The sequence below is a fragment of the Homo sapiens genome, chromosome 9, assembly GCF_000001405.40.
Source record: "Homo sapiens chromosome 9, GRCh38.p14 Primary Assembly".
Classification (NCBI taxonomy): Eukaryota; Metazoa; Chordata; class Mammalia; order Primates; family Hominidae; genus Homo; species Homo sapiens.
In genome coordinates, this window is record NC_000009.12 from 126,967,643 (window position 1) to 126,981,897 (window position 14,255).

General features: G+C 42.5%; 1 protein-coding gene across 56 annotated transcripts in view; it reads left to right on the forward strand.

Annotated features, from left to right (window-relative positions):
• RALGPS1 (Ral GEF with PH domain and SH3 binding motif 1) overlaps nucleotides 1–14,255 on the forward strand; it is a 308,385-nt gene that overhangs the window by 52,861 nt on the left and 241,269 nt on the right. For 47 of the 56 annotated variants that reach the window (XM_011519233.2, XM_047424120.1, NM_001322321.2 and 44 more), the window contains one exon: nucleotides 10,053–10,103. The exons of the other annotated variants lie outside the window; for them this stretch is intronic. In XM_011519233.2, the coding sequence (XP_011517535.1) occupies nucleotides 10,053–10,103 (51 nt within the window). The remainder of the gene's footprint in view (nucleotides 1–10,052; nucleotides 10,104–14,255) is intronic. 56 annotated transcript variants of the gene reach the window in all.

Genomic DNA, 14,255 nt, shown 5'->3' on the forward strand with positions numbered 1-14,255 from the left:
CCTCCTGCCTCAGCCTCCCAAAGTGCTGGTGCTACAGGTGCATACCACCATGCCCTGCTAATTTTTTTGATTTTTAGTAGAGATGAGATCTCACTGTGTTGCTGTGGCTGGTCTCCAATTCTTGGACTCAAGTGATCCTTCCACCTCAGCCTCCCAAAGTGCTGGGATTGCAGGTGTGAGTCACCACTCCCAGCCTATATAATAATAAATTTAAATTGCATATCTCTTCCACTGGAATATAAACTTTCTAAGGACGGGAACTTATCTGACTTGTTCACTGCATTTTTTCCCAGTGCCCAAAATATACCTGGCTCATAGTAGGTGCTCAAAACATACGTATTGCCTGAAAGAGTTCAATTCTTTTTTTTTTTTTTTTTTTGAGACGGAGTCTCGCTCTGTCGCCAGGCTGGAGTGCAGTGGCAGGATCTTGGCTCACTGAAACTTCCGCCTCCCAGGTTCAAGTAATTCTCCTGTCTCAGCCTCCCGAGTAGCTGGGATTATAGGCGCATACCACCATGCCCAGCTAATTTTTGCATTTTTAGTAGAGACAGGGTTTCACCATGTTGGCCAGGATGGTCTCAATCTCCTGATCTCATGATCTGCTCGCCTCGGCCTCCCATAGTGCTGGTTGGGATTACAGGCATGAGCCACCGCACCTGACCAAGAGTTCAATTCTTACAACAACTCAATGAGTCATATCATTTGCTCCCAATTTTCTGATAAAGTAAGGATCCAAGAGATTAATTTTCTACATGGATTATATAGCCAGGTATTGGCAGAGCCAGGTCTGAAACTCTCATCTCCTAATTACCCATGTAATGCTAGGAAGTAATTATAAGAGCAACTCCTATTTTTGAACACTGATTATGTCTAGGTCTTGTGTTAAATGTTTTACATGCTTTATCTAGTTTACTTTTCATAACAGCTTTATAAATTAGGTATAATTATTATTCCCAATTTACTGATAAGCGAGTCAACACTTAGAGAAGAAAGTCGTCTCTTCACACAGATAGTACATGGCACAGCTGGGATTTAAAACCAGGGCTGTCTGACACTGTAGACCAGTGATTTCCAATAGAAATACAATGTAAGCTACATATGCAATTTAAAATTTTCTAGTAATCGTCCGGGCGCGGTGGCTCATGCCTATAATCCCAGCACTTTGGGAGGCTGAGGCGGGTGGATCACCTGAGGTCGGGAGTTCGAGACCAGTTTGATCGACATAGAGAAACCAGGTCTCTACTAAAAATACAAAATTAACTGGACGTGGTGGTGCATGCCTGTAATCCCAGCTACTCAGGAGGCTGAGGCAGGAGAATCACTTGAACCCAGGAGGCAGAGGTTGCGGTGAGCCGAGATTGCGCCATTGCACTCCAGCCTGGGCAAAAAGAGCGAAACTCCGTCTCAAAAAAGAAAAAAAAAATTTCTAGTAACTACATTAAAAAATGAAAGAGGTAAAATTACTTGTAATAATATGTTTTATTTAACCCTGTATGTCTAAAATATTATCATTTTAAAATATAAGCAACATAAAATTATTGAAATACTTTATATTCTTTTTCTTTACAAGCTAAGTCTTCAAAATCCGATGTGTGTGTATGTAAGAGACAAGGTCTCACTATGTTGCCCAGGCTAGAGTGCAGTGGCTATTCACAGGTGCAATTACACCACAGTGCAGTGCCTTGAACTCCTGGACTCAAGCCCTTTTCCTGCCTCAGCCTCCTAAATAGCTCAGACTATAGGCTTGTGCCACTGTACCTGGCTCCAATGTGTATTTTACACTTTATGGTGCTAGCAACATTTCACATGCTCAGTAGCCACATGTGGCTAGTGGCTACCATATTGGACAGTATAACACTAGAGCCTGCACTCTTAGCCACAAAGCTGTATTGCCTCTCCTTTAGAGGACGTCATGGATCTCGCAGGCCAGTGGCCTAGCTTCTATGTTCTATTTATGTATGTTTACTTGTACTTTTAAGAGTCATGTTTTTTAGCTTCATGAAAGAAGCAATAACGAGGCTTAAAAATCCCTTTCTAGCTGTTTACCCTGTGGAATGGCAGAGAGTTAGACTGCATCATAGAAAAACATTGCCTAACAGGACTCCTTGGTGAGACGCAGGGCCTGGTTTTCTAGCCTCAGCCGTAGGGTATTGCTTGGCTTGCTTCAGGCTGCCTTTCTGAGGCTGGGAAGACTGTAGGGAAGGATGGTGAATACTTTTTGAGAATGCAGTGCTAAAACTTTGGCTGTCCCTGCTGGAGCTAGTATGTCTTCAGCTTACATGTGAAACCAGGTCTCTGGAGTCTTTGGCCTCTGGGAAAGCACTGGAGTGCCTAGGTGTTAGAATTGAACCAGACCAACTGGCATTTTAGTTTCCTGTCTAGTGAAAGAAAAAACCCAGACATGAAAACCCAGTGAAAGAATTATTTGAGTGATTCTGGGAAGATGGTGGCGGCAGTAGCATATTTTTAAATTCTCTCTTAATCCGTATTCCCCCACCGCCCCACTGTAAACATTCAGAACAACTAGATAGCAAACCCTGAAACCCATGAACAAAATTGTAGTAAACCTAGGTGACAAGTTATCGTCATCACCCCCAAAATACAAGTGGTTGAATATATACCACCAACATCCACAAGACCTTCAGGGTATCAGCATCTGTAGAGGAGAAAGCAGAATAAGCACTGGGGTATTTGATAGACTTGAGAATAAGAGAACCCCAAAGTTGTCAATAGGTATTTGCTAGAAAGTTCAGTGGGTCAGGGTGGGAATAGCAGCTGAAATTGGCAGGGATTTTGACTATTCAAATAATGGGTGAGTAGAAGGGATCTGTGGAATAGCCATTATGACCTCTTGAAACCAGGCAACTAGGGGGTCCCTTCTAGAATGATGCTGCGTACCTAAGAAATTCAGTAGGGAGTGGAGTCAAAATGATCAGAAAAGATAGAGATAGTTGTGGCAAAAGATGATCTAAGAGTGTGTGTGTGTGTGTATGTGTGTGAGTGAGAGAGAGAAATCTCAAGAAATAGTGGCTATGGTGTTGAACACTACATGAAAGCAACCTAAAACAGCTGTGTGAAGTTAGAAAAGGTACTCTGAACCATATTGCCCTGTAAAAGCTCAGGAAAACTAATTTTGCATAAACATAAGCAACAGGAAATTATTGCTGTCAAATCTCATTCAGAGTTATTGTACAAAAAAAGAGACAAGAATCCCTATAGACAATGAAAGCATGCCACAAAAACAGACAAAACCTGTAACTGTTTATTTTTAAATGAGCTAAGAGATGTTAAGATCACACATGAAGAACATAAATCAGAAATACAAAAATCTCAGAAATGAGATGACAGAACTTAGGGAAGACTTAAAAATAAAAGAATTCTTTTGGAAATGAAGATTGAACTAGAAGGAACACAGGAACACATAAACATAACAGAAAATGCCTAAGGGAGGAAACTTTTTCACATGAAAATAAATGAAGAAAGAATAAGACTTTGGGAAAAAGTGACAAATATTCATGATAGCCAAGGAACATCCAACATACAGACAATAGGAATGCCTGAAAGCAGGGAACAAAAAGGCAAGGGAACTTCACAAATAATTAAAACTAAAATTTAGGAAAATGTTCATGATATTTAAAAAAAAAAAAGATTTGAAACCGCATATTGAAAGAACACACCATGAAGCCGAGAATGTCAACCCTAAATGGTCAATACTAAAGACATATTTTTTTTTTTACAAACTACTGGGTTTTAAAGGAAAAAAAATTATTTGGGCATTTAGGCAAAAACAGCAAATGACATATACAGGAAATGATTAGATTACCATCAGTCTTTTTTGACAGAAACATGTTTTTTCCAAAAGGAAATGGAACTACATAATTAAGGAAAGAAAGAAAAAGTGAGCCAAAGAATTTATAATATATCCAGCAAGACTGACTTTAAAGTATAAAGGACACAAACAAACTGTTGTGAACATGCAAAGACCTCAGAATTTTATTCCCCTGAGCCCTTCCTGAGGAATCTATGAGAGAATGAATCTTAGATAATGAACATAATGAGAGAACCATCACTATAAAGACAGAGAGCAGTAAACATGCAATTACTTGTGGAATTAAGACTGAATGAGGGTTAAAGGTAGAGGGTATAGTTTGTAATGAATGTATGCCCAGATGGTAGATATAGTATGACTATAGGATAAAGTAAATGAAAACTTACGGGATTCTGGAATGCTAGTATACTCTATGTCCTTGAGACCAAGATTTTCAAAATAGAAGAAAGGAGATACAGATGTAATACAGAAGAGGTTAAGTAAGTTTTTAAAAATGCCCTGAATTTGAATTGGAAATATTAGTATGAATTCTGCATTGTGGTCTTGAAATAGCATTTCTTACTAAAAGAACCCATGGCTTCCGGAGAACTGGTTGATTCCAAGCCTGGGAAAGGACATGTTCAAGATGAGCCTGGTACATCTTCCCAGTACCCAGTGAGGAAGCTGTCAAGGAATAGGAGGGTTTGTGGCAAACGGACTCAAGAGCTAGGTAGAAGAAGCTCCCATTGCCCCATCATGGCACAATTTGAGCTTCAAAAGGATAATAATTGCAAATGATTGAAACTCATCAAGCAATGGGTCACCTTTTGATGATAATGGGGCAGTTTATAATCTTAAAAACTGGTAAATATGAGGAAAGAATCAAGCATTTGTCCTACCTTTTACTTTTGAACAAACTACACTGGATAACCAAACAGTAGATGAGGGAAAGTGTCTATTAAATTATTCAGTTAAGAAAAGGAAAAGAAATGAAAGAATTGGAATATCATCATTTTGTAACCCCAGTGAATGAAAATATCTAAGCAGTGAACATCAATAGCCACTAACATTACAAAAGGAGAGCCATTGTGTGCCTCCTGATGAAGCAGTGTGCCGCCACCTGCGGTCTTGCCAAAGGGATGCACCTGTGTCTGATGAAGTCCCTGGGTCCAGCTGCTGATTTGCAGACATACCAAGAATGGAAGAACACATTGACCTGTTCCATAAGTGTGGAGAACTTATGGCTTGGATTCTTCAGCAGATGTATTACAAGGAATATAAAGGGATGGAGAGAATATTTGTAGATTAAAAGAGATTTTAAAAGTACATATCGGCTGGGGCAGTGGCTCACACCTGTAATCCCAACACTTTGGGAGGCTGAGGTGGGCGGATCACAAGGTCAGGAGTTTGAGACCAGCCTGGCCAATATGGTGAAACCCTGTCTCTACTAAAAATACAAAAATTAGCCAGGCATGGTGGCGCACACGTGTAGTCCCAGCTACTCAGGAGGCTGAGGCAGGAGAATCGCTTGAACCCAGGAGGTGGAGGTTGCAGTGAGCCGAGATTGCGCCACTGCACTCCAACCTGGGCGACAGAGCGAGACTCCATCTCAAAACAAACAAAAAGTATGTATCAGGTTGAGCATGGTGGCTTACATCTGTAATCCCAGCACTTTGGGAGGTTGTGGTGGGAGGATTGTTTGAGGCCAGGAGTTAGAGATCAGCCTGGGCAACAGAGCTAGAATCCATCTCTACAAAAAATTAAAAAGTTAGCTGGGCATGGTGGCTTATACCTGTAGTTGTAGCTTCTCAGGAGGCTGAGGCAGGAGGGATCACTTGAACCCAGAATTTTGAGGTTAGCTCACTAGGTATGATCACACCACTGCATTCAAGCCTGGACAACAGGTAAGACACTCTCTCTAAAATAGGTAGGTAGGTAGGTAGGTAGGTAGATAGCACTTATCAAATTTTTAAAAAAGTGGACAGGACTACCCTGTGATGTATAGGTGTATATACTTGAGTGATTAAATTATTTAAAAAACTTGAAGAAAGTCAGGATAATGGTTACTTTTGGTGGGAGAGAGACTTGTGATTGGGACAAGTCACATTGAAGAACTTCTGGGGTGGCTCTTTTATTCGTTTTGATTGTGCCAAAATATACGTAATATAAAATTTACTATCTTAACATTTTTCAGTGTACAATTCAGCAGTGTTAAGTACATTCACAGTGTCATGTAACCAATCTCCAGAACTGCTTTCGTCTTGCAAAATGGAAACTCTGTATCCATTAAACAACTCCCCATTCCCTCTCCTCCCAACCCCCAGCAACCACTACTCTACTTTCTGACTCCATGATTTTGACTCTTCTAGTTACCTCATGTAAGTGGAGTCATATAGTATTTGTCTTTGTGACTTTTCTGTAGATTTGACTTTCTGTTTTGTTTTGAGACAATCTCACTTACTCCCAGGCTGGAGTGCAGTGGTGCGATTTCGGCTCACTGCAACCCACTCCTCTCGGGTTCAAGCAATTCTCTTGCCTCAGCCTCCTGAGTAGCTGGGATTACAGACATGCACCACCACACCCGGCTAATTTTTGTATGTCATATTACAGACAGGGTTTCACCATGTTGGCCAGGGTGGTCTCGAACTCCTGACCTCAAGTGATCCGCCAGCTTCAGCCTCCCAAAGTGCTATGATTACAGGCATGAACCACTGTGCCCAGCCTAGTTTGACATTTTTTAAAAATGAAAAGTTAAAAAAGCTTTAAATAAGTTACTGCTAGATTAATTTTCAAAAGGAACAGAACAGTTCCTAGGCCCATCCCCTGACTCTTTTCTAAATTGCCGGACACGGGCTTTCTGTGGTTCTGTGAGTCAAAGCAGGAATAGATCTTTGGAGCTGATTACTCTGTTCTGTGCGCCCTCCTGGCCATGCCTTGGTGGAGTGGGGTAAAGCCAACAGCTTTTTTTGTTTGTTTATTTGGGGTCTGGAAGACCCTTACATTTAAGGTTGAGGCTGGGAAGAGAGGATTTAGTCAGCCACTGTTAGAGAGGAGAAATACTACATTTAACATATGCAAAAAACTTTTTTTTTTCCTTTTGGCTAACCAAGTAGCATTTCCCTTAAAAGCCTGGGTTTTTAGAGGGCCCTGGACTAGGAGGAAGGAGGAGATGGGAGAAGGCTTAAGGAAGCCATTGCCAGGTGACTAGCTTGACTGGACATCCTATGTTAATGCTTTATTTCTCAAAATAAGGATAGGCCATTAAGAGACTTACGAGTGTTCTCGCTCAGCCCCACTACTGGCCGGATTTGCTGCTTGGAAACGAGAGTGGGAGGCTCCTTGTCTCATGTTTCTGTTGAGGCTGTAACATACCCCTAGAAAATGCCTTTTCTCTCCAGGAAACCAAGGTACCTCTCCTGAGGGAGGGACAGGGCGCTGAGATGGTCCCGAGAGCTGGCTATGAAGTGTGACAGGACCTGACCTCACCTCTTACCCCAACCCCTACCCATACTTCCCACCCCCCTTTTTGGTAAAACTGAGTGGCCTTGAGGGTTCAAACTTCCAGGGAAGGATTACTCATCAGCGACCTCTAACATATGTTTGGCTTTTTAGTAAAATGGCATGAAATCGATAATCTGATGATCTTTGTAAGTATCTTGTATCAAAATATCCTTGCTCTAGATACTGTATCTTTTTTGGTCAGAATTGAAAGGATAGAAATAGAGATTCTTCTGAAACCTCATTATGTATTTCGGACTAGCTAGTCTAAGTCTGGTGACCTCTGTTGTTGTTTGTTTTGAATAAAACACCTGAACACATTTTCTGACTTATGGTCTGAGCAGAGAGCAGAATATTTGAAACTTGGACCATCCAAAAAGTGTGAAATGTAAGGTCACTGCTTTAATAAATCATCTGGAAATTCAGTAGCAAACCCTAGAACTGGTGGCAGGATGGAAAGGAAGTTTTCTCATTTTCACATTAGCAGACGTTTGGTTCTTTTCCTAAATGACATTGCAAACATCCTGCCGGTTCTCCCGGATAGGGTGTTAACTTGAAGTGCAGGGGAGATTTCCAAGGTCCTCTGAGCTTTCAGGTCAAATCTCCTGTCTTTACAAGGCCTTTCTGTTCCCCAGGATGGCAGACTTAATCCAAATATGAGAAGCACTTGGCTAACCATCTTGATGGATCTGGCAGAAGAAATGCCAGTCTGTTTGCACTGCTCAGGACATAGTTCTGAGCCATGGAGCTCTAGGCCAAACATAGACCTATAGGCCTTCAGGGCTTACTGGCCACTCAACACCCAGATTATGAGGGCCAGATACATTATGCTGATGTCAAGAGTCTCCTTGACATCAAGAGGTGTTGGGTGGAAACTGGAGGCGGAAGAGCTCAGATTCCGCTCCAGTGCTTCCTTATTCCTGGTCCTCTCTCCCACCTCTCAGCCAGGCTGGTGGCAGCATCTCACCCGTTTCCATGAAGAACACTAGCTCCGCTCCTGGGAGAGTACAAAGAGGCTCTCCACTGAAGCCAGCTGCATGTTTTCCTCTCCACTCTGCCTGAGGATGGTCTGCTTTGGCCTGTATCCCGTGCTTCTCAGGAACCCAGTGACCTTGGACCACCTTTGAGTGTGTTGCCATTTTTCTCTAATATATTCTTAATACAAGGGTTTTTACTGGCTCAGTGGATTTTAAACATGTTCTTTAGAGCAACCTCAGTGCATGAATATTCAACCAAATTAATGGTCCCTTATTTGCTAGCTTATGTATTGGTCAGGAACCGTAAGTTCACATGCCAGTACATGAGCCCATCTGTGTGGCTTCCATTTTGACACACACACACCCCCTTACACTCAACACTCATTCTCACACACACACACACACACTTTCATATACACGCACACACGTACACCCTCACACATACACACACTTATACGCTTACACTCACATTCACAGTCACACACACCATATACTCACACACACACACACACACTCAGATACACACACATAAACACACTGTCTTATGTGTTTATTGAGCATCTGTCAGGTGCCAGGAACGCTACCTCTTGTCTTGAATTTTCACCAAGATCCCATAAAATAGGGATTATTGTCATCATTTTCTAGATGTGGTACCTGACTGAGAGAGATTGTGTGTCAAAGAGAACATTGCCGTTAAGTGACAGTGTCCAGACACACACCCAAGCCCTGTAGACTCCAGAGCCCATTTGTTCCCTGTATCATGTCATCCTGGATGGCCTGTGTTCAATGGACAGAGTGTCTTCTCACATTAAAGGCATCCAAAGGTCTTCAGCTCTCCTCTCCCTGGCGTGTCACAGAGGCATCTCTTAACTGACATCTGGCATCCCATGTGACATGGAGGTAGGTGGATCACGTGAAGTCAGTTCAGTTCATGCCTTGGTCTGAAAAATGGTCAGCATGATGCTTCCTGTTACTGTCACCAGATGAGGTTCTTATGATGGGCACAGCCTTTTAACCTGATGTGTGTCTTCTCTATTGATGACATTGCTGCATCTTAAGCCGGCTGTGGTGAAGGACTAGTTTTTTCCATTTGCAATAATTTGAGGACAGATACTTAAAATGTATATAATGGAAATGTCATGGTCATGTAAAAAATTGCTATGCAAGTTCCAAATGCTTGCTCTCAGCTTCTGTACTTCTCTCATTGTGGGCTGGTGGAATAAACAGTTTGTTGTCCCGTGCTGGTCTGTGGGTGCGTCTTGAATAGCACTCTACCATATAATTTAGGGGCAGTATCAATGACTTCAGAAGAAAAATATAATTTCTATAAGCCACAGCTTTAAAATGAACTTAATTTATAGTAATAGTGTTTCTGTTTAGCATTCTAATTTTAAATATTGTTTCTACAACTTTAAAAAATTACAAAAGTAGTTCATGCTTGAAATACAAATTCAAATAGTATGAAAATTTTCAAATAAAACTGTTCCCTTTTCTCCCAGGCCCACCCCCCAAACAACTTTTATCAATTCCTAAATTGAAAGTTCATCTCACATTCAAGAAAGAAGGGTGTGGATCAGAATTTATGAAGCGGGGGAAGGGATGGGAGAGGCATTTCAGAAATGTATCCAATTTTTTACTCTATTTGGTCTTGTTTTTTATCTCAAAGGGGAAAGTATAACTTTTATGAGTGTATATGACTCTGTATAAAGTAACATGACAGTTATCTTTGATGTACAGTATTTTCTAAAATTGATTCTCTTTTGTTGCAGAGCCAGATTACATTAATGGATATACCTGTGTTTAAAGCTATCCAGCCGGAGGTCTGTACTTTGTCTTTCTACTCTTCTATTCATGCTGTGGGTGGGCAGCGAGGATTTAGCCAGCCACTGTTAGAGTGTCTCAGTTTCTCTCTTGCAGGCTCTATAAATGCATGTTATCCATTTAAACCCCATTCTATTCTTGATGGTGCTCATGTTTTTGAGCCCAGTATTTGGATTTTCCAGAGAATGTCTCCCGTCTGGCCTACTCTGGCAGGGCTGGGAGCAGTTGGTACCCACAGGACTCCACGCCTGAGAGTCAGGTCTTAACACCCTCATTCCTTTTCCCAGGCTCCTCCTGCTGAAAATGTTTGCTTTCAAGAAGTGATGTGAGGGAACATTTTTCTGGAAAGTTCTCTTTTTGTTCATCCCAAATTCTGGTGGTTGCCTTGTTTCTATTTTTGAAACCAGTTGCCGAAGCAAACATGTACATATTTACATTGAAAGCATATATGGGTCAGGTGTGGTGGCTCACACCTGTAATCCCGGCACTTTGGGAGCCCTAGGTGGGAGGATCGCTTGAGATCAGGGGTTTGAGACCAGCCTGAGCAAAATAGTGAGTGTCAAAAAAAAAAAAAGCATATGTACATTTTTAGAAACAGCATATTCAATAAAGGGTAAAAAGTTGATTTTGGTCTTAAAAAAATTCCTGGAAATGTTTGGCAATTGATAACAAGGTTTTGGTTATTTTACCCAGGGTGTGTGTGTGTGTGCGTGTGAGATCAGGTAAACAAAAATCCATTTCAAAGTAGCTGAATAGGGAGGCTGAGGCAGGAGAATTGCTTGAACCCAGGAGGTGAAGGTTGCAGTGAGCCATGATTGTGCCATTACACTCCAGCCTGGACAAAAGAGCGAGACTCTGTCAAAAAAAAAAAAAAAAGTAGCTGAATAGGCTGAAGAGGAATTTATTACAAGGATAAAGGGACACTTTACAGAATTCATGGGGTGAGTTCAGGCATCCAGAGAGCCACCAGGACACAGGCAGTCCCTACTTCCTGCTCCGCTTTTACCTCTCCTTCTCCTGCTTTCTTGTCTGATTTGACCTGATTTGGCCTTTCCAAAGGGCCCACGTTTACATGATCTTTAAGTCACCGTCCCAGACTGGGACCAGCAGATTTCAGTCCAGGCCAGCATAGTCATGTGTCCAATGCTGGTCCAGTCACCTAAGGCCAAGAGTATGTGGTCAACATGGGCAAACACTGAGGGACCCAGCCTTGTGAGTGAGGTTCAGACCTCAGAGGAGAGGAGTGTGGTTGGGGAGATAGATCAAAAAGTGCTGCAACTAGGGTGTGAATTCCAGAATACTCTTAACTTAATGCCTTTCTTCTTACAGAACTGTTAAGACTTGACAAAGAGCATATCTTAACACAAAGTCACAGTGTTCAAGCCTTCCGAGAGCTGGCACCTAGTCTACTAAAAATTAGGAGGAAACTAGTACCACTAGCTTTGTTCAGCATTTATGTGAAGACGTGGCAGTTATTTGTATTATTGTATTATTATGTGTGTGTGTGTGTGTGTGTGTGTGTGTGTGTGCTTGTGTCTGTGTGTTCATTAGGGTTGGGGAACAGAGCTTTGTTTGCTTTTTTTGAATTGGCTGACTTCCATTCTTTTTCTGTTTTGTTCTAATGTGGTATGATCCATTATTTCTAATCAAAAACAACATCAAATCACTGCCTCTTGAAGCCCTTTGGTAGAATAGGTGTGTGATGGTTGCCTTAGTTCTCAGCTGAAGCTGTTTCTGATTATGTTCTCTGCTTAGCTCTGATCTGGAGCAGTTTAGACATTTAGGGCTTTATTCTTCATCCGAACATCAAGGAGGGCAGCCCACCTGCCGTGAGCCCTGAACCTGCATGTGCCCAGGAGACTGGGATCCTTGCCAGGCTGCTGGAAGGAGGGAGGCGGGTGGGGGCTTCTTCCTCTTCAGAGGCATAGCCAAGGCCAGACCAAGACTTTTCCCCAGGGTGCTGCAGTTTGGAAGGTACCTCATCAACACATACCTTAGTTCAAGTTGTGACAAGACGTTAGAGTGGAGATGTTTTGTTTTCAAGACTGTAGTTTGTAGCAGTGGTTCTTAATCGTGGCTGCACATCAGAATCACCTGGACAGTCTTGGAAACATGAGGGTACCCAGAGTCCCCTCCCCAACACTCCCCCACAGACCATTGAATCTGAACTTAAATCTCTTGATGGGGGTCTGAAACCTAATCAGCCCTATTTTGTAAAAGTTTCCCAGGTAATTCTGAGGCAGAGTGAGGATTCAGAACTAGTTGCTTTAAGGTATCTGGAGAAACCCCAGACTTGAACATTTTGGATCTATAACATGTTAGCTAAAAATGGAAGAGTTTGCTCCTCATTGTCAAAACTGTGGTCAAAGGAAGCACCCTGGGAGCTGCCCCAGCTTTTTTGCTGATGTTATTATCATTAGCAGACTGAAAACTGAAAATTTTCCTCTTGGGGATGCCTGCCATGTTGTGGCTGGACCACCCCAGAGTTGGAAGGGCATGAATAAAGTACAATTTTAAGTATGCAGAGGCCAGCATCTGAGAGCAAGATGGGTGCTTTGAGTGACCTATGCTCCCAGGAGATCAGGAAACTTGTAGACTAGTGCCTTTCAACCCTGGCTGTGTTTCAACCCTGGCTGTGTATCAGCATCCACTTGGGAATTCTTTAAAAAAATTACAAATGCCTAGGCTTCAGCCTTAGAGATTCTAAATGCTTTGGTTTAGAGTGTGACTCAGGAATCTGCTTTTGACTGGGCACCCTAGTGGTTCCCAGTTGGATGAGAACCAGGGATGTAGTGATTGTAAGACTGATAGCAATTTGCTTTGTGAAATCCTAATTTTCTAATTTCTAATTTTCTTATGTAGTGATTGTAAGACTGATAGCAGTTTGCTTTGTGAAATCCTAATTTTCTAAAGATTTTTTCTTGCGTAGTTACTAAGATTACCCTTAATTCAGCCCACAGAGGTAAGAAGAAGAATATTAACCATGGACCCTGTAGCCAGTACCTGAACCAGGCCTGTCTGAGCCCTGACCCTAGAGCTCAAGCTCTCAGCCCCTGTTGCATGTGGGTGTAGCCTGACTCCTGCACTGCACAGTGGGCTTTTACCTCTTTTGATGTGGAAACAGCCATCTTACCAGGCTTCCATTGTGTAAGCAATATAGTTTATGAATATATTCCTAGGCTGTTCAGATCCTTCACAACTGGAGAATTGATCCTGGCTGGGTCTAGATATGGTGATTTGGACTTCTGGGGTTGTCCTGGAAGACATCAGCCACTTCCTAGCTGGTCATTTTTCCACCCTGGCTCAGGTTTCTGCTTTCCCATCATGCTGTTTGCCAACTCTGTGCTTATTAATGAGGAGATGGGGGTATTTAGCTTGAAAAAAGAAGGTACCTGAGGGACATGATTCTTGTCCTTGGAGATCTGAAAGGCTTTGAGCAAGCTATGAGGAGTTATGGTGAGACCTGGATACTTTTGGATGGTATTCGGGATGGTCCTGGAAGAAGAATGTTCCAGGTTGTGGGATTAGCATGCACAGAGGGTGTGGTCAAGGACATTTGCTTTGATGGAGGAGTAGGGGAGATTTGAACATAAAGGCTTCTAAAGCCCTCCCTGCCATGGGGGTCCTTGAGTTTCTGGCGCTTGTCTGGAGGGCAGCTCCCAATGATGGAGTGGTGGGCAACACCCTTGCCCATGCAGACCCTTGCCTCTGTGTCCTTGCTTGGCTCCCTAGCCCTCTGACCTAATCCCTGAATGCCCAATGGCTCACTATGCACAGGGTTGAAAAGGGGTGGGTGCTGATGTGGACTGTTGCTGGGTAGCCTGGGCTGTTTACATTTTCCTGAGCATTTACTGTGTGCAGGCTCTAGGCTAGGCTCCTTAGATGTAGGGTCTCATTTAATCCGCATCACAGTGTTATGATGTACCTGCTGTTATTGTCTTTGTTTTATATATGAGGAAGCTAGAGCTCAGACATGTTAAGTATTATAACTTAGTCCATGATTACTGTATTAGTCCTCTGTTGCTATGTAACAAATTACTCCCACACTTAGCAGCTTAAAATAATAAGCATTTATCTCTCATAGTCTCTGTGGGTGAAGAATCCAAGAGTGGCTTAGCTGGGTGGTCCTGGCTCAGGGTCTCTCAGGAGGT